General features: G+C 43.6%; 1 protein-coding gene across 2 annotated transcripts in view; it reads left to right on the forward strand.

Annotated features, from left to right (window-relative positions):
* The window catches only part of EGFLAM (EGF like, fibronectin type III and laminin G domains), a 206,922-nt gene that overhangs the window by 79,591 nt on the left and 101,582 nt on the right, over window positions 1-25,749 (forward strand). For both annotated transcript variants that reach the window (NM_001205301.2, NM_152403.4), the window contains exons 3-5: window positions 549-632; window positions 12,352-12,469; window positions 14,047-14,182. In NM_001205301.2, coding sequence (NP_001192230.1) covers window positions 549-632; window positions 12,352-12,469; window positions 14,047-14,182 — 338 coding nt within the window. The remainder of the gene's footprint in view (window positions 1-548; window positions 633-12,351; window positions 12,470-14,046; window positions 14,183-25,749) is intronic.

Genomic DNA, 25,749 nt, shown 5'->3' on the forward strand with positions numbered 1-25,749 from the left:
TAATTGTTTGGAGTTGTGCACTCTCTGGGATATGGGGAGAGCTGGCCACACGGGGTCCACATTCCTCTCCACCTGCTGGAACTGAGCTGCTTATTTTAGCTGAAATGTAAGACCCCGGTACCACCCCAATCCCACCACCTGCTACTGTCTCCATTTCACCAAGGGACAGTAGCCGTTGATCATGGCCCTCATCCTATTGTTTTCTGAAAGTAGAGGAATATATCTCTGGGCTCATGTCTTATCAAAAGTGAGAAAATGAAAGATTACCCAGGAGGCTCATGCATTTTGGGAAAAATAACACGAGCCATGTGCAGACCTCTGCATTTCACTTCATTGATATGTGTCTTCCTCCTGGACTCCTCAGGCTTCTGAGTTTGCAACACCCCCCACCCAACCCAAGTAGGTCTGATGTGTGTTCCCGCAGAACTAGTGCACGTGATGTTAGGCAACGCACCTCAGAGCCTGCTGCCACTGTGAGTGCAATTACAACCTTTGATCTTACACAAGCACGGGCTCTGCTCTCACCAGGGTGTCTGCATCTTTTCAAGGTCTTTTACTCTGAGGTTGGCGCAGATAAATCCCTGCAGGAGCAGTTGCACAGCGTGCCTCTCAGCCGGGACATCCCGACCACGGTGAGTCTTTCCATCCTGGCAGCCCACTCAAAAGCATGTGGGCACTATTCGGGCGGATTGCTGATTTGGTGTGTGTGCTACTGTACATGTAATAATAATAACTAATGCTTGTAATAGTCCTTTAGGATTTCCAAATGTCATTCATGTACATTTCCTCTGAACCATGCCATCTACATCTCTGGAAAACAGGCATCTGACGAAAGAGTCCTGGCGTAAACGCTTCCATCCTGGACTCAACCCCATTTTATCATGCAAGAAAACTGCCACCTTACAGCTGGTTTTTCCCCTTCTTTTCTTCATAAAGTTCAGTTCTGTTTTTTTTAATCCCAATAAAAGCTTTATAAATAAATGTGATACATTTGTATCTTCCCAGCTGCCTGAAGACACAATGCAGAAGAAGAAGATGTAATTTGAAATGTATATTTAAAAGGTCCAAATTGTTTATTTTTTTTTCAAGCCCAGTGCCCCATCCTTCCACTAACCGATTGTTGGGTCCTCATCTATTTTCTTTTCTGTTTCTCATCAAGGTCTCTTGAGTGAATTTTTGGCCTTAGGCATCTTGAATTTTCTTTTCTTTCACTCCCCTCCTCCTTCCTAATTCTGCCACTACTCCAGGCTAGAGCCTTTTGAATTGCTCTACAAGGAGTTAGCACCAGTGCTCATAACACTATTATAATGGTGGTGGTGGTGCTAACTCCTGTTTGATCCGTGCCTTCTGGCAGCAGCACCTGAGAGAAACCTGTTTGTCATCCATGATAAGGAACTATCACTTATTGAGCATCTGTTACCTGGCAGCCACCACCCTCTGTTTTACATTTGCTTTGCCACTTAATCTTCACAACTATCCTATGACCTCATTTTACTGACAAGGATGCTGAGACTCGGAGAGGTGAAGTAACTTTTTTCAAGTCATACATTAGCGAGTAACAGCATCAACTGTAAACTCAGAGCTGACTGACCTCTGAGCCCCTGCCCTTGCTGGTTCTACCAAAGCTCTCATGACTCAGAAGGAATAGATGCACATTTCCAGCTTGCTTTTATTTTGTATGACATGCTTTTAAGCTCAAAATAGACTTTTGCTTCGGCACCCAGCATTGGCCGCAGAAGCTGTCAACCCCAGCCTCTGTAGTTTACTCTCTCAAGAAAGGGTGATGTGTTGGGTTGGAACTTTCAATAAGCTCATTGAACTCACCAAGGAGTCTGATTGTCCCTAGTAGTATCCCCAGCCACCCCAGCCTGGTGTCCTGCAGGGCTCACTGCTTGGCCTGGAACCCAGTCCAGGTATCAAGAGTGATACATGCCTTTGAGTCTAGACAGTGCCTCTGAAATTGATATCCTGCCCATCACAGAACCTGGGCTGAATATTGGCATCTCTCTGAAGGTCACTGCTGTATATACCTAAACAAGGCTGGGAGGGAGACCAGCATTCTGGACTTTTAGGCCTGTTTCTTCCATTTACAGGTTGGGTAATGTTGGTCAGAGTCACTTAACCTGTCTAAACCTCAACTTTTTTTCCTTGAAAGGGGTGTAATAATTATTCTCTTGTGAGGATCAAATAAAAGCCATGTGGATGGTAGTTATCATTCCCAATGATTTATTTGTTAAATATATTCTCTCCATTATCAACATCTAGGCATTAGAGTATGCTATCAAATTCTGCATTTGATCATCTTGCCAATTTTGACAAACTTGCATAGGGGCTACTCTATGCCCAACACAAGACAACACACAGTCCCTGTTTGGAGGCAGCTTTCAGTCTTCTGAAAACCACATCCACACAGATAAAACAATTAGGGAGCAAAGTAAGATCAGATGTCGTTATTAACATGCTGCTTAGTAGACAGGGTTTGAAGAGGGATAGGTAGGTGAGTGTGAGAACAAATGGTCAAGAGGTGAAAGTTGGGACTGAGGACCAAAGCAGGAACTTTCTGCAAAGGCAGACTCAAGGGAGGGACATCCCAGTTGGAATGGTTTGAGCCCAGGGAATGAATGAGCATGAATGTGTCCACACATGCCTCTCTCTCTCTCAATCTCTGTGTGTGTGTGTGTTTGTATGTGTGTGTTTGGGGGGGTGGGGGGTGGGGGGTGGGGAGAGTTGCAGAATAAAGAGAATGAAAAGAGGAAATCAAGACTAGACATAAAGGCAGTGATTCAGCAATGCAATGGGAGGAGTCTGATATAGCAGAATGGGTCCTGGATTCTGATGACTTGTGTTCAGATTTCTGCATTTCAACAAAACAGCTGCTTAACCTTACTAGGTCTCAGTTTCCTCAGTGACATATATCATAGTGTGTCTTTGATTCCCAAACTGTGTGCCAGGGTGCTCCAGGGCTCTGCAGCAGGCTCACATGGGCACAGTAGAATAGTTAACATTTTTTAGGAAAACAGCAACATCTGTGTGAACTACTGTATTAGTCCGTTCTCACGCTGCTAATAAAGGCATACTTGGCACTGGGTAATTTATAAAGAAAAGAGGTTTAAATGACTCACAGTTCTGCATGGCTGGGGAGGCCTCAGGAGACGTACAACCATGGCGGAAGGCACCTCTTCACAGGGCAGCAGGAGAGGGAATGAGTGCTGAGTGAAGGGGGAAGCCCCTTATAAAATCATCAGCTCTTGTGAGAACTCACTCACTATCACGAGAACAGCATGGGATAAACCACTTCCATGATTCAATTACCTCCAGCTGGTCCCACCCTTGACACATGGGGATTATTACAATTCAAGGTGAGATTTGGGTGGAGACATAGAGCCAAACCATATCAACTATTATTACCAAGTTGTTTGGATATAACTACTTAATAAATGGAACAGTTAGACATTTCTTTTGGCATAGAGATGCTATAAATATTACTGACACACTAAGGGTGGAAAGAACAGAGAAAGTTTTAGGAACTCTACTATATCATATCATTCTATAGATAAAGATGTGAGTTATTATATCGTATCATTCTGTAAATGAAGATGTGAGTTATAAGGTAATGATTGTAGAAACTTCAGCACGATACCTGGCAGAGAATGAGAGCTTAGTAAGTGGTTAGTATGATTCGTATTGCAAAGATGTGTGTTTGCTGCCCTTGGCTGTGCATGGCAAAAGGGCAGGTGCTGTACAGATTTATTTTACTCATGCAAGTTTTTTTTTTTTTTTACTCTTCATGTTGCCTCTGTTTTTTCCTCTCTCCAGGGACAACCTGATCATCAGGCAATTTTTGTAAGCATGTTTTAGAAAAGTTAAACCCCTGTCCCAATCCAGGATTCAAGGGATCTCTTTTCATCAAAATGTTGATTCTCCTGCATCTCCCTCTTGCTGATTAAGGCTCAGTGAAGAGTGCCTAGTTCTAGTGTAAGCACAGACAGCTGAATCTACAAGGTGAATTTTTAATCGTTTAGAGGAAGCCACTTTTATCCCTGCATGTACTCCTTCATCTCACATGGCAGAGTAGGGTTAAGGGGAACCTCTCTGAAGGTTGAAGTAATTTAAGCTCTGGTTCAAGAGTAGGTAAAACAGATTGAAAAGGAGAGAAAATATTTAACATGTGAGCACCTCTGTGGAGGTAGCTCCCCCTCCTTTTACCTCCTCTTTTATCAATCCCTTATTTCCCCTAACAATTACAGATTGTGTTTTCAGTAAGATAGGACCGATTACCTTAAAAGGTAGATTTGGTTTTCTGGATTGAATGCTAAACCGGGGAGTGGGTTGACAAATGGTTAATCTGATTTAACTGATAAAATGACCAAAATACCCTGGCTGATAATGTGGAGTTGGGCTGCATTGTTTGATAATCTGCCTTATAGTAGCTTTCAATTTGGCAGCATTTCAAGCCCACCTTATCTTTTTCTTAAAATAATACCCTCCAGATTTCCTCCTGGAAAACAGAATAGTAAAACAAATCAGGGCAATTTGGTAAATTTTTTAGAGTTAGAAATAGAAAAGAATGTTTAGGGTGGTGGTCTTTACACTTTTTGATCATGCATGCCATCAGTTAAAAAATATTTGAACATGCACCAGTATACGAATATTTATGTATTTATAAATTATACATATGCTACGGTACTAATATATTATGTACATTATAAAATCTCACAGAATTTTAAAGGAGGAGATAAAACAGAAATAGAGTTCATGTGTTTTCTTCTGGCATCTCAGTGGATTGTCTTGCTGTCCCCGGCGATGCACCACCACCCTGCTTTAGAGTCCACTGGTTGACCCAGAACTTAGAGAGAGAAAACTTACAGGAATCAGAAGACGTGTTCCTGCTCTCTCATCAGAGCAAGGGTGACCAGGGGCGAAGTCACTGATCTTTTCTGAATTTCTCTTCAACTATAAAATGAAGGGATGGGGCCAGGCACAGTGGCTCAAGCCTGTAATCCCAGCACTTTGGGAGGCTGAGGCGGGTGGATCAACTGAGGTCAGGAGTTCGAGACCAGCCTGGCCAACATAGTGAAACCCCATCTCTACTAAAACTACAAAAAAATTAGCCAGGTTTGGTGGTAGGCGCCTGTAATCCCAGCTACTTGGGAGTCTGAGGCAGGAGAATTGCTTGAACCCTGGAGGCGGAGGTTACAGTGAGCCGAGATCGCGCCATTGCACTCTAGCCTGGGCAACAAGAGTGAAACTCCATCTCAAAAAAAAAAAAAAAAAAAATGAGGGGATGGACTAGCAATGGTTCTCAACTGGGGGTACCTTTGTCCCCTCCTGGGCGTTTTGGTAGACAAGCATCAGGTATGCTAACTTTCCTGCAGTACGCAGGACAGATCCACATAAGGAAGATTTGTCCAGCCTCCAAAGCCAATGCTGCCCCTGTAACAAAACTCTGGAAAATAACTTCCTGTGACCAGGGAATAGAAATCCTTACAACTCCTCCCTCCACCCTGCTCTGCACAGCCGTCCTCAGTGCATTGGAGGAAGGATGCTTGGAAGATAGCACTTTTCTGTTTCTCTGGTGCCTTCCACTGGACAATGCTAGGTGGTCCCAACTGCCACTAAGGCAACTGAGGCCCAGCCTTGACTTGTGCGGTCAACTGTGAGGTTGAATCCAAGTTTACTAGCTATTAATGAAGGTTGTTTTAGAAGAATCATAGACTTTCAGTGTTGAATCTTTGGCCCAGAGAAGCTAAGTGGCATCCCCAAGACCACACAGCTAGGTTAGCAGCAGAACCTGGCTCTCCTGGCTCACAGTCAAGTGCTCTATTCAATTCATGCCTCCTCTCAGCTGTGCTCATCTGAACTAGTGAATAGGACAGCCTCTAGCCTTATTTCTGAAGCCAAATGATCTGTATTTCTAGCAGTAGGAGGAGAAAGAACAGCATCATGTAAGGAGGTAAAGGCAAGGTCTGAAATCAGAGTCAGAGACTTCAGTTCGGAACAATTCAACATGATTTTGTCAATGCAGAGTGAAAAGTATGCAGTAAAGAATAGTCTTGCTGGGCACGGTGGCCCACGCCTGTAATCCCAGCACTTTGGGAGGCTGAGGTGGGCAGATCACCTGAGGTCAGGAGTTTGAGACCAGCCTGGCCAATGTGGTGAAACCCCATCTCTACTAAAAATACAAAAATTAGCCAGGCATGGTGGTGCACGCTTGTAATCCCAGCTACTCAGGAGGCTGAGGCAAGAGAATCACTTGAACCTGGGAGGCAGTTGCAGTGAGCTGGGATCGCATCATTGCACTCCAGCCTGGGCAACAAGAGTGAAACTCTGTTTCAAAAAAAAAAAAAAAAAGAAGAGTCTCATCTTTTCTTGGGCTCTTCTTACATGGTAACCCAGGTTGCTTTTGTATATTGTGTCATGTATTTGATAGATATAAGTCTAACAGGCCAGAAACTCAAATTAACAGTGTTTCTAATGAGATGTGCATTTACATTCCTCCCATGGAACTGTCTGGATGTCACCTTCTGTTGGCTTCACTTGATCAGAGGGCCAGGCTCCTTCCAACCCATTGTTCTGCCAACCCCTTGTGTCCTCCTGCCCATGGTCCAGAATGGCTTAAGCTGCCACATCCACACTCTAGCCAATAGATGAGGAAAAGAGGAAAGGAAACACACTCCTTCCTTTTAAGGGATATCTCAAAAGTTGGCCTCAGCATTCTCACTCACAACCTATTGGACAGAATCTAGCCATAGGACCACACTTGGAAAGGAGGCTGAGAATGTAGTCTTTGAGTGGCCCAACTGAAATATGGGGATTCTATTATGAGAAAGGAGAGAATGGATACTGAGAGACGAGTCATCCAGGTGACAGACTGTGAATGGAGGGAATGGAAAAGGCAGTTGAACATCTGAAAAACCAGGTGCTCATTTCAGAACTAGTTAGTGATGCTGTGTCTACGAGTCAGATAATTAGAACCGTATAAAGTCATGGTGTGTTTCATGAGGGAAATCAGACCAACTGTTGCCCACAAGGGCAGTTACAGAAACTCTCTGAATCCAGTCTCATTGTCTGTAAAATGGAGATAATAGGACTGACCTCTTAGAGTTGTTGTGAAGATTAAAGGAAATGATGGCGTACAGAGATTTTATAAATTCCAAAATGCTATATAAATGAAAACTATAATGATGATACCAATTGTAAGATGAAAGTTTATTGTTCTGGCAATCTGTGAAGAAGGCAAGAGTCCTGAAAGTCGCCTGAGCTTTCTCACCGGGCTCAGTGACCAGCCTTGATTTTCTCTTCTATAGATGTGAATTCACTGCTCGCATAAAGCCACCAGCGGTGTTGAGCAGACAAAGGGGTTTTACATTCCAGAAAGAACCAGGCAAACACCAAGTAGGGGGTATTTTGCAGCAAAGCACTCAGCTTCACCCAAAAAATGGTGGAGGAAGGGCCTAGGGGAGACTGTTGAGGTCACTCTGGCCTCTACTCCAAGAAAGCAATTCCCACGACTCTGTTTCTCACTAACTTGTGTAGAAATGAAGTGCAGGAGAGATAAACATCTTGACTTGTCTTCAGACTTCCACAAGGCAACAAAACAAAGCAAAAGACTGTTTCTCTACTTTGAAAAGAGCATGTTCAGCATCTGCCCTAGTTTGATGCCAGGCTGAAGTGGTGATGGTAAGACCTTTAAGGACAGAAATACAAAGATTTATGCTGTGTGGTATTTTACTACAAATTGCAAGGGTTATCACAAGTTACAATACATTGAGGATTCCATTTGAGAGGAGAGATGTCAGGGGAGGAAGTGAAGGTGAAATCACTGAATTCAACACGTTTCTGTGGCCCTGACCACTCAGCCCCCTTGATTTTTACCATTATGCCACTTTCCGGAGTGTCAGTGCAGGAAAAGAGACAGACGGGAAACAGCCAGCTTCAGGGAAGGTCACCCTCTACCCCTCAGAATGCACCCAAGCTGAAGGTAGCACTAATCTTCCATATCCAGTAAAGAGTTCCAGAATTTTTTGATCTATATATGGAACTACAAATACGATTTTGCTTGGTTTTCAGTGGTAACATTTAAATTTCTAATACGTTAACTTCCATGGTCGTAAAGTAATAATAATCTAGTTTCCAGTGATTATGGTAAATATTGTTTGTTGTTGATTTAAACATTATTTAATATTTTTTGTACATGTACTGGCCAATTAGAACTTGGGCATTGGTGTCAAACGGAGAAAGGCTCAAATCCCTATTTTGCCACTGACTAAATCTTGAGCAAATTGTGAACTTTTCAGGGCTTAGGTTTTCTCCTCTGTAAATGAAAATAAGAGTGATACCTACCTCACGGAACTGAAGGAAGAATTAAATAAAGCTATACATAGCCTTCTTTCCCTTTGTTCATGAAACAGAGGAAACACCCATCACTGGTAATTAATGGTAGCTGTGTTTGGTATTAAGTGATATCTACAATACTGTCTGAATCCATATCACCACCTATACTTCATCCAGCATCATGACTTCCCAGGAGTAAAGGATCCTAAAGCAAAACTGGGAGAGTGCTGTGTTGGTTTGAAAGTGTTTCTGCTTCCTTGAGGAAAGCCTGGAGTGTTAGTCGGGAGAGGAGTGAGAACAGAGGGTTGGATCCACCTGTTGCCTCCAGTCTCTTAACCACCAAACTTGACGTGAAACCTGGAGACAGAAGGTGAAGCTCAGGAGCACAGATGTGAGGAAGTAGAGCTGGAGAGGGGATCTGAAGGCAGGTCCACATGTGCAGCAAAGGCCCCTTGTGAAGCCACATGTAGGGTGGAGTGGAGGTGGGTGGGAGGGAGGGGCAGACTGAAGACCCAGGCAAAGAGTCAAAGGGGCCGTAACTTGGGCACCAAGGTGGAAATGGGATGAGGGAACAGGTCTGAAAGGCATGGTGGGGTGGCTGGAGGGAGGTGGGCAGGAGAGTCAGTCCTGTCCCTGGAGGTGCTAATCCAAGGCCTGGGGCAGGAGTACTGATGCTGTGAGTCAAGATGCAGGGCTCAGTAGTATCGGCTGGCTTCTTGATGAGGTCATCTGTTTACATGAGACATCTTGGCTTGATTTCTTTCTTTAATCATTCATTAGTTCATTTATTCATTCATCAAGAAGCATTGCTTGAGCATTTGCTAGATGTCTGGTAATACTATGCTAAGCTTTGGGATGCCAGGGGAATAAGAACTTGCTTACTGGCTTCAAGTGGGTGGGGACAAGGTGACAAATCAACTGATAATTAAAATACAAGGTGAGCATTGCTCAGATTGGGGTGCACCAAGGACACCAGGGCAGCCTAGAGGAGGGGCACCTAACCAGACTGGGGCGGGGCCAGAGAAATGAGGTAACGTCTCAGCTGATCTGAGTCATGAAGAATGAGTAGGGGTGAGCCAGGCAGGAGTAGGGAGAAGGACATTTCATGTAGAGGGAGCAGCAGGTTCAAAGGCCCAGAGGCATTGAATGGCATAAATTTGAGCCCTGCCAAGTTCTTAAGTATGACTGGAATGTAGAATGTAAGGAGGGGACACGGTACGGGATGATGCTGGAAGGATAAACAGGGGGACAAAAACACGCTCTTCTAAGGGGTTTTAAAGTGTGAAGTACGTGATCAGATTGCATATTTAGAAAGATAAGTAGTATAGCACTGTGGAGTCCAGACTGGAGGTACAGGCAGTGCAGCATTGGTGGCAGGGGAATCAGAGCCCATTGTCATATTTATGAGGACTTGGTCTTCAAGGGCTGTAAGGATGAAATGACAGAAACACATTCAAGTGATATGAAAGAGGTGGAATCTGCTGCATAGGTAACTGATGAGATGGTGGTGAGGGGTGTAGAGTGAACTCATAGAGGAAAGCATCAAGAATTCTGGCCTTGGGTAATGAGAGAGAGAGAGAGAGAGAGAAGGCAAGCAGTGAAGCTATGTTTTGGTTTGGTTTTGGCAGTAGGAGGAGGAATGATTCATTGAGCTTTGGTTATGTTACACTTGGGGTGCTTGGTAGTCACTGGGTAGATGTTCAAGAGGCCCTCACAAATCCATGCCTGGAGACCAGGAGGCAGGCCAGAGCTAGAGGTGCAGAGTCACGAGGTGTCACCCTGAAGGTGGTGCCAGAAGCTAAGGGAGTGGGAGATGAGTTTACCCAAGCAAGACTACGAGGGAGAAGAGAAGATGGTGACAGGGCGAAATCCTGGGAAAGACCAATCCTTAGACGTAGCAGAGAAAGGGGGGTGGATGGAGGGTATTGGAAAGGAGGAACACGAGAAGTAGAAGGTGACCATGGAAGAGCAGAGTCATGATTTTCAACGGAGCCAAGAGATTGAAGAAGCAAGGGTGGACAATGGTATTGAAAGCTGCAGAGAGTCATTAAAGACTGAGATGCACTCACTGGATTCATTACAAAGTTGTTACGGTGCCTTGGTAAGAACATCTCAATAGGTTTGTAGTGAGAGTGGCCAGGTGGGCGTAAGTTCAGGAGTAAATAGGAGGTGAGGCAGCAAAGAGAACTTCAAGGAGGTTGCCTCTAAGGAGAGGAGCTAGGGGTGCAGGTATGGTAGGGAATTACTGTTTTTAAGGTGTGTGAGTCTTGAGCATAGTAAATACAGAAGGATCTGGTAGATACTGGATCTAGGGGGATCAGGACAATGAGAGGAGGGGGAACAGATGGGGCAGTTCAGGGCCTGAGAGATGAGCCAAGCTCTGGAACAGCAGTTCACAAACCTGGCTGCACATTAGAATCACCTGGAGGGCTTTAAACAAATAGACTCCTGGTTCTGTCCCCTGTAGATTCTGATTTAAGTGGTCTGGAGTGGAGTTCGGGCCTCAGTCGTTTAGATCACCGAGTGATTCTAATGTGTAATCAGGGTTTGAGAACTACTGTATTAAGTATTCATTAATTATTTGTTGAATGCTTTAAAAAATTGTAGGGATGCCCTTAATTCTTCTTAGAAACAATGGACGTTCAAACATCTGCAAAAGAGCTTGTGAAGAAAGTATAAGACATGGTCCCTGCTTTCAAGTTGCTTATAATCCCATAAGAGAAATAGTAACAGTTTTTAATAAATACAATGTAAATGTGTTAAAGTAGTGGCACAATTTTCATTAGGGTAAGATCACCAGACCTGCATGGTCAGGGAAGGTGTCAAAGGGAGGGCTTGGCCTTTGGAGTAGTCAGGGAGCCTAGGTAAGCAGAGAAGAGGAAGGTTCCCACATGCCCAAGACAATATCATGACCACTCATTTCCTGAGCACATCTTCCATACTGGCTGCTTTACACACAGTATCTCAAATGTTACAATCATGCAAGATGGTTATATGTCATGCCTGTTTTACAGAGGAAGAAACTGAGGCTTAATGAATTTAATATCAGCGACACAGCTAACAATAAGTGGCAGAATCAGGATTCAAGCCCAGGGCTGGTTGACTACAATGCCAGTGCCCTTTCCACTACAATGGGCTGCTGCTTCCCACCGATCAGACCCAGGCTCCCAATTACTATTTAGTGCTGTAGCTTTGGGGACACACCACTTTTGCCAAAGCTCAAGGTGGAGAAAGCCCTCTTCCGCTGGGGCTTCCTGCTCAGGGCCCTTTGTGCAGGGGAAGTACACACGCACACACACACACACACACACACACACACACACACACTTTTAAGAAAGTCTTCCTGGTGATTCTGATACTGTTTAAAATTTGAGAACTAAAATTTCAGTCCCTACTTTGTAGGTACAAATCAAGACCTCAGTTTCTTCAGCTGGGGCTTCCTGCTCAGGGCCGTTTGTGCAGGGGAAGTACACACACACACACACACACACACACACACACACAGACAGACACACAGACATACTTTTAAGAAAGTCTTCCTGGTAGTTCTAATGCTGTTTAAAATTTGAGAACTAAAATTCCAGTCCCTACTTTCTAGGTACAAATCAAGACCTCAGTGTGCAGCTGCAGCTATTCTCTGAGCATCTGAAATCTGCAAATGGAAAGAAGGAACTGGGGAATTACAGCCTTAGAAAGAATCATTACCTGCCTTCCAGCAACGTAGTACTTTGATCAAAGAGTTCTGATGTTCACAGTAACATTTGCTAGTGTGAATGTATCTAGTTCTAGGACCATGGATAGATTTCAATAAAGGGCCATCCTCCAGTCTTGGAAAATATGTCATGGCTATTTTTTTCTTGGCAAAGTTTAAAACTGGGCCAGTCCTAGACAAAGCAAAACATTCTCTGTGCCAAGCAGTTTCACAGGGGCCTCGAGATATAAACCTCATGGAAATTGTACAATTTGCCCAAACAGATGTACTGATTGTTAGCATCTTTCTTGTTTGGTCATTGACAGGAGGAAGTGATTGGAGATTTGAAACCAGGCACTGAATATCGTGTGAGCATAGCAGCTTACAGCCAGGCTGGCAAAGGGCGGCTGAGCTCTCCTCGGCATGTCACCACTTTGTCCCAAGGTAAAGTAGGTTCAAATTCATTAATAGGTGGCAGGCTGCTATCCATGCATCCTTCATTCAGCAAATATCAATAGGGACTTACTATGTGCCAAGCACTGTGCTAGGCTCTGGGAATTCAGTAGAGAACAAAAGTAAGCACAGCTCCCGCCCTCTCAGAACTTAGTGGGGTGAGTCTAGACATTCCCTCATTAGTGTGTAGTTGCAGAGTGTGATAGATGCTCCAGCACTGTAGGAATGTACAACACAGGGGTAAGGGAAGAATTCCCTGAAGAGATGACAACTAGTGGAGATCCTACAGGTAAGTAGGAATTAAGAAGGTGAGGAAGGGGAGTGGGAGAAGAGATTTATAGGCAAAGAGAATGCAACTAATGTTTATTGAGGTGACACCAAGTGGACAGTAGGCTACAAAGTTGGGTTGATGCTGGTCACTGCTGGCAAGGAGCTTTTTGTGGAAGGAGAAGCCAATGACAAATGAGTGACAGCAGCACTTCTTTTTTTTTTTTTTTTTGAGACAGAGTCTCACTCTGTCACCCAGGCTGGAGTGTAGTGGCGCGACCTTGGCTCACTGCAACCTCCACCTCCTGGGTTCAAGCGATTCTTCTGCCTCAGCCTCCCGAGTAGCTGGAACTATAGTCACATGCCATCACACCTGGCTAATTTTTGCATTTTTAGTAGAGATGGGGTTTCACCATATTGGCCAGGCTGGTCTCGAACTCCTGACCTCGTGATCCACCTGCCTCTGCCTCCCAAAGTACTGGGATTACAGGCGTAAGCCACCGCGCCTGGTGACAGCAGCACTTCTAAGGACTGCACCGGAAGCTGTGGAGCACACAGGAGGGCGCACTTCCTCTGCCCCAGCCTCGGAGGCTTTCAGAAAAGTCCTACCTTTGGCCCGAGTTACAAAAAATGCATAGGATTTTGCTAGGAAGAAAAGACAGGAAAGGTCTCCCAGGCAGATGGAGTAGTGTGAACAAAGGCTGGGAGATGTGTGTGTCTGGAGGTGATCAGAAACAGCGGTCACTTGAAGTGATGGGATCATGGGTGACTCCTGCATCTTTACATAGAAGGGCATTTCCCAAATGACCTACCATTACTATGTATTCTGATTGTCAGGGGCAAAACACACAGAGAAAAGAATGATTGGCAGTGATCCTAAGCATTCAATTTTCCTTGAAGGTAAATATCAGTTCTGACAATGCAAACAGATGGAATGCTATTAGGAGTTGAGAATGTGACAGAAGGTTTTCCAGGGAACTTACCACTGTGTGTCCCAGGATCAGTGGCTGGGACATAATTAATTGGATTTGCAGTCAGGGGTGCAACGGGGAGAAGGGGAGACCAGCTCTCATTGACTCGAACCTCACATGGTGATCAAGTTGTGATTATGTTTTTATATTTGTTTGGTTTGGGTTTTGAGGCTGTTCTGAACAGAGATATTTTGGGTATAGGAAGCACTCGAGCTGTTTATGTATTATATTAAACGTCTCCAATGGCTGAGACCACCAGCCTAGCCCATTAAACCTCTCCAACGGCTGAGACCACCAGCCTAGTCTAGTTGTGTTTGTCATCCCACCTAGATTCCTGCCTGCCTCCTGCAGCTCCCCAGCAGCCACATGTCATTGTGGTTTCGGATTCTGAGGTGGCCCTGTCTTGGAAACCTGGAGCGAGTGAAGGAAGCGCCCCTATTCAGTACTATTCTGTGGAATTCATCAGGTAAGTCTGTATGTCACATTCAAAAGCCAAATGTGTGCTGGGCGCGGTGGCTCACACCTGTAATCCCAGCACTTTGGCAGGCTGAGGCGGGCAGATCACAAGGTCAGGAGTTCGAGACCAGCCTGACCAACATGGTGAAACCCCGTCTCTACTAAAAATACAAAAATTAGCTGGGCGTGATGGCACGTGCCTGTAGTCTCAGCTACTCAGGAGGCTGAGGCAGGAGAAATGCTTGAACCCAGGAGGTGGAGGTTGCAGTGAGCCGAGATCATGCCATTGCACTCCAGCCTGGGTGACAGAGCAAGACTCCATCCCAAAAAAAAAAAAAAAGCCAAATGTGTAGATGTCAGAATTCCAAGCCTGACGTAAGACAATGAGGAGAGTCACCTCCAGGTCTCTACCATATATATATTTAAGAGCGAACAGAGGCTTGGAAGCCCATGTATATACTTAGGCCAGTAATGATCTCCACACATCTTTGTTGGTGGGTCATCTGGTAAACCTATCTGTATCACATACCTCTTCCTCATTTCCCTGGCACAATCAGAGACTATTCTAGGCTCTGAAAACTCCTGAGGTACCATTTCTGATAAGCCTGCCTACATTTCAAGCATGAGCCTTGCCCTCCTGGCTTTGAAATATTATATATGAAAGTAAATATTTGATGATGCTGTTTCTTAGGAGCAGGGGAAAAATCTTTTAACAACAAGGACAACCCATTGTTTCTTTCACGTCCGTATTGCCTTGGGACAAGTGTCTTGGTTTGGCCTCAATGTTTTTCTTTCATCTACCTCTCCATTTCTTATTATTCAGCTTAGCAGAGGGTAGAGAGTGATTGGAAATTCTTTACAGATATTAAAGCATTGATTCTCAATTGAGTGCTGCTATGTAATTTTAAAGAAAGAGAGAAAGGAAAACAAAGGTCAACAAAAAGAATTCCCAATCTAAGATATTTCCTCTGGACTCTAGTTGCTGTTTGATTTTGAATGGAAGCGGTGGCTGGTGAGTGAGTCTGAAAACAATGTTTGTGGAGTTGGGATTCTCCACGTTAAAGGTGATGGGGCTTGTCTGAGGCCTGCTGCTTTCTGCATTCATAAAGAGACTGGTTCGGGACCTCATTCCTAAGGCTCTCTGAAGCTGGGACAAAGGATTCTCCCAAGATTTGATTAGCTCTGCTTCTGTGTCTTGACTTCCTAGCCTATTCCTTGGTAATGGAAAGCAGATATGTGTTTCTTCAGAGGTGAGGTACTGCACAGAATCTCTTTAATGCTTCAGTACAGAGTGTTTCACACAGGACTTGGTAAATTGCAAGTGTCAGAAGTGTGAAAGGAGAAGATGAGGCAGTAATGCATCAGCTCCTGTAACTGAAAAGTCCAGCAGCAAATCTAAATTCAGGGGAGGCTAGATCCGTGTCAATTCAGCAGTCTGACTCCATGCGCCTCTCTGTTTTAGTGGCTTCATTTTAGATGGGCTTTTCCCATAGGGTGGCAAAATGGCCAGCAGGCAGTCAAGACCTACAGTGACCAGCCTAGCTCCCTAGGAAAGAGAGTGGCTTTCTCCATGGACCCAGCAAAATCTCAATATTTATTCTCATTGGCCAAGCTGAAGTCTCTTTCCATCCTTTGCACAAGTCACTGTGACCCGAGTGGGAGAATTCATTGATTGGTCAGGCACTGGTCATATTCCAAGCTCTGGAATTAACAACTGGTTGTTCACTCAAACCTGGTGTATGTGGATTGAGTATTCAAGAGGATTGGACCCTCAAAGGAAAATTGTGGTACAATTACTGGAAAAGAGGGGAACAGAGTCTAAGATTTTTTTTTATAATGCCCACTGCAAAGCCCCAGAACAATGCTTTGCATTGAAGATAATCTACGCCCCTGCCATTGAACAGATTTTGTAGGCAAAACCTGGAATATCCCTAAAAAAAAAAGATTCTAATCCTGGTTCCAATACTGGTAAAATGTGCTACACTGAAAATCCTAAAACTTCAGCTTTCTCATCTGTAAAACTTGGGGCAAAACTTAACATTTATAATTTACTTCCACAGATACATTAGACAACACCAGCAAAGCAAGATGTAATACTTTAAAATTTTGAAAAATGCACACTTCTGGCCAGGCGCGGTGGCTCACGCCTGTAATCCCAGCACTTTGGGAGGTCAAGGCAGGCAGGTCACCTGAGGTCAGGAGTTCGAGACCAGCCTGACCAACATGGTGAAACCCCATCTCTACTAAAAATATAAAAAATTAGCTGGGCATGGTGGCGGGTACCTGTAATCCCACCTACTCAGGAGGCTGAGGCGTGAGAATTGCTTGAACCTGGGAGGCAGAGGTTGCAGTGAGCCGAGATTACACCACTGCACTCTAGCCTGGAGGACAGAGCGAGATTCTGTCTCCCAAAAAAAAATCCCAGTTTTTTATGTTTTTATGGTAGCCTGGCAGATAATCTGTGTAACCCTGAGCAAAGGTAAGCATTATTTACTATTAATTTTTTGTTCAAACACATATTTTAAAATTTTCTCTATATCTATGTAAGGTAGAAATGGCAGTTTCTTAACCTTGTGTGCACACCTGAAAGTAGAAGATGAAAGAGTCACTGGATTCAGACAGAAGAACTGGGAGAGAGTGCTGCCTTCTCTATTGGCAGCCGTGTGGCCCAGTGCAGGTTACTTCCCCTACTGAGCCTTGATGCCTCTCATAGTGTGGGGTCCCCTCAAAAGAGAGCCGGAGATAAGGACTTGGGTGCAAATAGTTTATTTGGAAGTGGGAATGAGAGAGTGGGGAGAATGAGACAGGAAAGGAGGATATATATATAAGGGTGTGTTAGTGAAGTCACTGCTGTAGGCAACCGGGTCTTCACTGGGGTCTTGATTCCATTGAGATCTCTCTGAAACCCACAGAATTCTTCTCACATTGCCCATGAAAAAGACAGGAGACATGGATCCACTGGCTTCTTCCTCCTCTGTCCTTTCAACATTGCTCCTGAGGGTATAACTCCTCCACATTTTATGATGAAGGGGGGAGTCTGGAGAGGTGAGAAGTGACAGGAGCACAGCATGTGTCTGAGGTCACATGCTGGTTGCAAGAGGTGAGTGAGCCCTCCAAGAACTGTCCATGCCACAGCTGCTGCTGAAATCAGGGGACAAGGGGAGGTGAAATGGCCCCAGAGGCATCGGCTACAATCTCCTTGTCTGTAAAACGTGGGCGATGACTTCTTCCAGCCTTATAGTGTATGGTTAGGAGGATCAAGTGATATTCTTGAAAATATGGGAAAGAGAAGAGCTTTGAGTAAGAAAAAGCTGTGTTGATGTTAAAAACCTACAAAAGTATAAGGTATATGTGGGTATTATGTACAAGTACAATTCCAATTAAAATGCGTTTTAACATTTAGAGCTGTCTAATATCTAAGGGGCTCAAGGTCTCAAATTCATATGTATATATTTTGAGGCAGAGTTTCACTCTTGTTGCCCAGGCTGGAGTGCAACAGCATGATCTCAGCTCACTGCAACCTCTGCCTCCCAAGTTCAAGTGATTCTCCTGTCTCAGCCTCCCGAGTAGCTGGGGTTACAGGCACCCACCACGATGCCTGGCTAATTTATGTATTTTTAGTAAGATGGGGTTTCACCGTGTTGGTCAGGCTGGTCTCAAACTCCTGACCTCAAGTGATCCACCTGCCTCAGCCTCCCAAAGTGCTGGGATTACAGGCATGAGCCACTGCGCCTGGCTTCTTATGTATATTTTAAAATTATATGCCATTCCAACCAACTGCTAATATATATTTATCTCTTTACCTTGACAAAATACCTTCACAGTGTCTGGAAGGTTAGTTTCAAATTTAGAATTCTTATAGTCGTTGAATTCCAAATGGAACATGGGAATATGGGAAGGCCCAGTCACTTGTTACATCCCCTGTGCTAGGAATTCTGCCTCTATCTCTTCCAGAATATGTGACTTCAGTCAAGTTATCCTTTCTCAGAACCCCTATTTCCTCTTCTGTAATATCGAGCAAATGCAACCCTCATTGCAGAGCTCTTGCTCATACTCCTCATAAAGTATCTATACACGTAGACACTCAGCGTGTATCTGTTTCCATCCTACAGTACCACCATTTCCCTTTCACAAAAGTAGAAATTGAGACTCCATTGCATAAGTTACTTTGCCAAGATAAAATGACTGGTTGGGGACAGAATAAAATTAGAACCGAATTCTCCTGACTTCCGGCCCGGTGCTCTTTTTATGAATCCCCATGTCCTTTCATGTTTGTGACCCACCTTCAGAGATGGAAGCTTAGACCCAGCCTGCCCAGAGCCCTGCTGGCTGAGGAAATGAGAAACCTCATCTTAGGCTGCTGTTTGATGTATTCCTGAAAGAAAGCCTCCACAGCTTGTTGCAGCATTTAATGTTTGGCTGCAAAATCAATCCATTTGTAAACATCTCAGAGCCTATCCCATTATAGGTGAGTGAATGTATGTTCAGAGAGAGCTTTCCTGGGCTCTAATGCTGAAACTGCAGTTTGTGTGTGCTACGTATGGTCTCAATGTTTATGTCCTCCACAAAACTCATACGTTAAATTCGAACACCCAAGGCGATGGTATTAGGATGAGGTCTTTGGAACGTGGTTAGGTCATGAGGGCAGAGCCCTCAGGAATAAGATTAGTGCCATTATAAAAAAAGCCCAGGAGGTCTCTCACCCCTTTCACCATGTAAGAACACAGTGATAAGATGCCATCTATGAACCAGAAAGGAGACCCTCAGCCTGGGCAACATAAAAAAATTAGCTAGGTGTGATATTGCACACTGTAGTTCCAGCTGCTCAGGTGGCTGAGGCAGGAGGATCACTTGAGCTTGGGAGATCAAGGCTGCAGTGAGCCATGATCATGTCACTACACTCTAGCCTGGGCATCACAGTGAGACCCTGTCTCATAAAGAAAAGAAGGCAGACCCTCACCAGGCAATGGACCCTCACCAGGCAATGGACCCTCATCACACACTGAATCTGCTGGCACTTTGATCTTGGACTTCCTGGCCTCCAGAACTGTGAGCAATCAATTTTTGTTGTTTATAAGTTACCTAGTTTATGGTATTCATTATAACAGCCCAAAGAGACTAAGACAGTAAGAAAGGATGAAAGGCTTTGGGTGGGGGAGGGGGTTGTCTGCAGTTATTTTATTTTCCCCAGAGAGGTCCATTTAATGTTTAATAGTGAATTCCTTTTTCTACTTCCTGTGTACAGAAGCACACGTGACAGGTTTCTGTGTGAGCCAAAAGGTCCTTATTATTATACATCTAAGGGGCAGGACTCTGGCAGGCCAAGGCTAGGAAATTGTAGAAATTGGTTTATCCCCAGAAGTGATCCTCAGATTCAGATATCTTAATGTGAAGTTCTTGTCTACATTCTGTCACTGGAAGGTAAGGTTCCAGTTCTCTCTCTGTCCTCATGGGCACTTCTGCATCATTTACTCTTCTTATTTGCTATTCAATGGAGATAAAGATTTCAAAGGCATTGTTAGGAGATAGTCTAACAAATTTTCTTTTTTTTTTTTTTTTGATATTGAGTCTTGCTCTGTCACCCAGGCTGGAGTGTAGTGGCACGATCTTGGCTCACTGCAACCTCTGCCTCACGGGTTAAGTGAATTTTTTTTTTTTTTTTTTTTTAATATTTAGCTAAGCCAGGAATGGTAGCTCACATTTGAAATCCCAGCTACTCAGGAGGCTGAGGCAGGAAGACCACTTGAGCCCAAGAGTTCTAGGCTACAATGAGCTATAATTGTGCCACTGTATTCCAGCTCAGGCAACAAAGTGAGACCTCTGGTTAAAAAAAGATTAACCTGGCCGGGCGTGGTGGCTCATGCCTGTAATCCCAGCACTTTGGGAGGCCGAGGTGGGTGGATCACGAGGTCAGGAGATCAAGACCAGCCTGGCTAACACGATGAAACCCCGTCTCTACTAAAAAATTCAAAAAAGTTGGCCGGGCGAGGTGGCGGGCACCTGTAGTCCCAGCTACTCGGGAGGCTGAGGCAGAAGAATTGTGTGAACCCGGGAGGCGGAGCTTGCAGTGAGCCCAGATCGCGCCACTGCACTCCAGCCTGGGCGACAGAGCAAGACTCCGTCTCAAAAAAAAAAAAAAAAAAAAAAGATTAACCTGAAAAATTGTGAGACCAGGGTATGCTGACTACTTATTTGCTAGTTTTGATGATATTTCAAGTAGACGTTATGCATAATATGATGATGTCTTGAGTCAGGGGCTTAGGACCAAGCAAATTTTTGTTCTTCATCCAACTTCTATTACCCCCAAAATAGAGGACACCTCTAGTGTGAGCACTCTGAAGGCGCTCTCAGTAACTGCATCAGAGAAGAGCTTGGTCTCAGGACCAGGCAGAATAAAAGCTTTTAGGTGGCAGGAATCTTCATGATCCCCCCCAAAGTTGGTCTGGAGGCTATTTGTTAGCTTTCTTTATAGCCATAGATTTTTATTTTTTAAGCAGTGTAGAAAAGATCTGAAGAGGCAAGTTCTGAGTAAGCCTTCAGGCTGTAACATATTTTGCAGTGTTTTAAACACTTTTACTTGCTTTTTTAAAACACAAAAGCCATGTGTTTGAGGTGAGGGAGAATATTTCTTTTCTAAAGTGACACTAAAAATTTCTTTGGGGGCAGCAATTCTTAGTGTTTATTAAAATAAGAACCAAGCATAAATATAGCTACCTATGTTTTGAAATATCTTGGCTATAAATATCTGAGAAACCTTCCCCCTTCTGCCTAAGAATTTCCCCAGGGTAAGTGCCTTTCTCATAAGCAAATAATATATAGTATGGTGGCAATGAAAACCAAAAGCCTGGAAAAACGTTCCTCATCACTGAAGTTCCAATCGGGGTGCCATGCCTGTCGTATGCTGTCTATCGAGTTGGATAAACATGAAAAATAGTTTTCATTTAACTTACCTAGAGTTTTTCTAAAGGTGTCACCTTATTGGCTAAAACTGCTTCAGAGCTTTGCATTGTCACCTTCTGGAAGGGGCAGGCTAAAGCTCAGCAATGGCTGTTTTTAGTTAAAAGTCCACCATTGGCCGCGCGCAGTGGCTCACGCCTGTAATCCTAGTAATCCCAGTCCCAAAGAGGCAGATAACTTGAGGCCAGGAGTTTGAGACCAGCCTTGCCAACATGGTGAAACCCTATCTCTGCTAAAAATACAAAAATTAGCCGGGTGTGGTGGCACACACCTGTAATCCCAGCTACTTGGGAGGTTGAGGCACAAGAATTACTTGAACCCAGGAGGTGGAGTTTGCAGTGAACCTAGATCATGCCACTGCGCTCCAGTCTGGGCGACAGAGTGAGACTCTCTCAAACACACACACACAAAGTCTACTATTGGCTTATTTTGGGTACATGTGAAAGTTCAGAATATGTCTGTGTATGTTTTAGGGACTCGGGTCAAGAAACGTTCTCTAAATCTCAACGTAAGATATTTATATTAATAAGTGAGAAGGAGCAAAGCTTCCCATCTTCTTCCTTTCTGACTTTTCTGCCTAAATATTCCTCTAGTCCCTGGCAGATGCCTTCCATAATAAGACTTGAAGAATTCATCTTCACACGGGGCTGCTTCTAGGTGGACTGCAGTACCTACATATTGGTTTCATTTGAGACTTTCAAGGTCATGCAACCTGGGTGGGTTTTTTAAAGTATTACTCGCAAATTGATATTTTTGTCAAAAGTCATCTCTCCTTCCATCTCATCATAGACTTCCATATTCTGTAAGTAACAAAGGAACTTAATTAGTTTCCTCACAGGAAGTGACCCTGCAAAGGCTGTTACTGAAATGAAGATCAAGTCTGGGATTCAGAATGGAAGCTGAACAGAGGATGGATTTTCTTTGAACTGTTCTAAGAGATGATGTGATTTGACTCATGGTCAAGGTCAAAAGCTGTGAAGGTTAAAGGCATTTCTCATTCAGAATTGAGGCTTATACCCTGATTCATAGTATCATCTCTTGAGGTTTAAGTGTGTCCAAATGTGGAATCAGGAGAGATGGTTCTGAACCAGCCTCTAAGCCTGGTGAAGTTGCTTGATTCCAGTCCTCAGTTTCTTTCTCTGCAAATTAAGGCATGCTGGATACGTGACATCTAAAATCCTGTGACTCTGCTCGTCTAGTATCAAGACGTAGGGGAGGCAGTATCGATGGATTGCGTAACACACAGGCTCTGGGCTGGACTCCCTAGTGCAAACCTTGTCTCTACCACTTCTAAGCTGTGTGATCTTTGGTGGGTTATTTAACTTCTCTGGCCTCAGACAACAGAATGGGGATAATAATTTACTTGCTTCATGGGGTTATTATGAAATTACATGAGTTGACACACATAAAATGCCTAGAACAGCGCCTAGCCCTTAGTAAGTGCTCAATCAATGCAAACTATTCCTACATGGCTTACTCGATGGGTCTTTTCTGCTTTCCTACATAGCCTGCTTCTTCCTGGCTACAAGTGTGTTTTGAAATTATTTATTTATTTATTTATTTATTTATTTATTTATTTATTTATTTTTGAGATAGAATCTAGTCTTGCTCTGTCACTTAGGCCGGAGTGCAGTGGTGTGATCTTGGCTCACTGCAACCTCCACTTCCCAGGTTCAAGCAATCCTCCTACCTCAGCCTCCCGAGTAGCTAGGATTACAGGCATGTGCCACCACGCCCAGCTAATTTTTTTTTTTTTTTTGTATTTTTAGTAGACACGGGGTTTCACCATGTTAGCCAGGCTGGTCTTGAACTCCTGACCTCAAGTGATCCACCCACCTCAGCCTCCCAAACTGCTGGGATTGTAGGCATGAGCCACCGCACCCTCCCTGGCCACAAGTCTTTATGCTTGCTATCCTGTCAGGACAGCTATTCTACCTCCTTACTTAGCTTACTCTTGTTCATCCTTCAGGACTCCTCTTTAAGTGTCACTTCCTCCAGGAAGCCCTGCCTGACTACGTTCCTCTACTCCCAGATTAGGTTAGCTATACCTCCAACATTTACTTGCAATACTCAGCACACTTGTAGTTAATTACTTCTTCAAGGTCTGTCTTCCTCTTGGAACATGAATGCAACGTCTACCTTGCTCCTTTGTGTGGAATATAGGACATAGCACTGTGAACACACCACATGTCAAATAGGTGCTGGTAAGCATTTGGACACAGGCAGTCATGGGATTGATCTAGAGCAGGGGTGTCCAATTTTTTGGCTTCCCTGGGCCACATTGGAAGAGGAAGAATTGTCTTGGGCCACACGTAAAACACACTAACGATAGCTGATGAACTTAAAAAAAAAAAATCACCTCATAGTGTGTGAAGAAAGTTTACAAATTTATTTTGGGCCACATTCAAAGCTGTCCTAGGCCGCATGTGGCCCTCAAACAGTGAGTTGGACAAGCTTGATCTAGAGGATGCCAGCAACTAGCTGGATCCCTGAGCAAGCTGCTTAGTCCTGCTAAGCCTTACTTTCCTCTGCTGTAAAATACGGATGGTAATAGTGGCTACCTCAGAAGAGTTGCAGAGATGAACAGGTCTGTACAGCACTTAGAAGAATGGCTCATGGAGGATTTTTGATTTTTTTTTTTTTAACTTGAGCCACATGCAAATATATTTTCACACTAGCGGTTACTTATTTTTGAGTAAATAATGTAAAAAGCATTACCCACAAGTAATTCAATGAATCCTTTACCACCAATATCAGAGGCCACAACAGTAACCAACATCTGACCTCACCCACTACAGAAATAAAAACCATACAAAAGCCAACGAGGATCTGCACATATGCATCCCCCGACCCCCGCAATGCCCCACTTCAATCCCAACTGAAAGTTTATTTATTGCTATCGTTTTCTCATCATAAAAGTAATCTCAAGATGTGGTAAAGCTTCAAATAATACCTAAATGGATATGACTAACTTGAAAGTTCCTACTGTGATTTTATTTCATGTGGAATGCAAATTCATGTCTTAGAGCTCGTCATCATAACTAAGTGAACTGCCACCGTTCTTCAGAGCATTTTACTGGAATATATAGCAAAACTTGGACATATGACTGCAATATTTAAGAGTGATGTAGTCTGGTGTTGGCTTGCTAGCCCCCAAAAGTTAGAATTGAAAATATTTAAAGAATTATTCTTAAACAGTTAATTTTGGGAGGAAATGGGAAAAAACAACCCTCCCTAATCTCCCTTTCTTTTCAAAAAAAAGTGTTAGAAGTTTTGCTATTTAAGTATGAGCTTTCATTACCATCAGCAATAGAATTAGATATAAGCAAGAATGAGCTTGCTTGGATGTCAGCTGGGATTTCATATGACAGGCGACAAGTGCTGCTTCACAAAGAATTCTTTTCCTTACCTTTAGTTTTGAAACTGAAAATCTCAGAGCCACCTACTAGACTAGCACCTGGTCCTAGAAATTCCAGAAGCTGTCAAGTCCCTTTGCTCAGGCCCTAATGGAAGGGCTACTCTAAAGGATTTAAAGAAGTCCGACCTGTAGTTCGGCAAATTGATCCCGTAAAGCTTCAATTCCTCCTACCCTAAACATTCCTGATATAATTCCTGCTTAGACTGATGGCAATTGACATACATTGAATTATGAAACAGCTTTGGGAGCCATTTGTAAACTGTAAATGAAGTGTGCTCTCCTATTGCCCCACCTGGGACAAATTGCCAGGTGAGTTTATCATAACACCATTGTATCCATGTGTTTGTCATTTGGTTAGGTTAAACCAATTTGTAAATAAAGAAAGAAGGCTGAAAGCTGAAGGTCAAATACTACATCTTTTTTTTTTCCATCTTTGACTACTGAGTGGTTTTGGACCTTTCTCTGCAATTCATTTAGTGTAGAGCAAATCCTGCATAAAACCAGTATGTAAAATTGACTGATTCGGAGGCTCTTCTGAGCATGAGGTTTCCTCTCACCCCTGTTGTGTTTGCCCTGGGTAATGTATGGGATCACATCTCTTCTCTTAGAGCAGGGTGTTTAACTGGCAGTCCATAGATCCCCAAGGGTTTCCTGGATAGAATTCAGGAAATATAATTCAAGGGGTCCCTGGACTTGGATTGGAAAAAAAATTATATCCCTAGTTTTACCAATGGAAATTTAGCATTTTCTTCAAAAATGAATGTAGACAACAAATCACAATGGTATTAACAATTCTTGTGACCCTGTCAACATTAGAATCACAAGTATTTTCTTATCTGGTTACAATGGTTGCACATATCTCAAAATACCAGTTATGTTTATCACTACTTTGAAATTAGCATAGTTACTGAATCCATTGCTAGGTTTTTTATTTAATGTATTAATAAAGTATATTATTTCATGATTTTTATTATTTTGATGATCCTTTTCAATATAATTGATTTCCTTTGTGAACCTATATATTTGATGCCTTTAAAAACATCATTCCGAGAAGGCGTTCATAGGCTTCATTGGACTGTCAAAGTGGCACAAGCCAAGTTAAACCATGCTGTTGTCTTAGATCAGGGGTTGCTAAACTTTTTCTCACAGGATCAGATAGTAAATATTCTGTGCTTTGCCAGCTGTATGAACTCTGTCTCAAC

The sequence above is a fragment of the Homo sapiens genome, chromosome 5 (assembly GCF_000001405.40).
Source record: "Homo sapiens chromosome 5, GRCh38.p14 Primary Assembly".
NCBI lineage: Eukaryota > Metazoa > Chordata > Mammalia > Primates > Hominidae > Homo > Homo sapiens.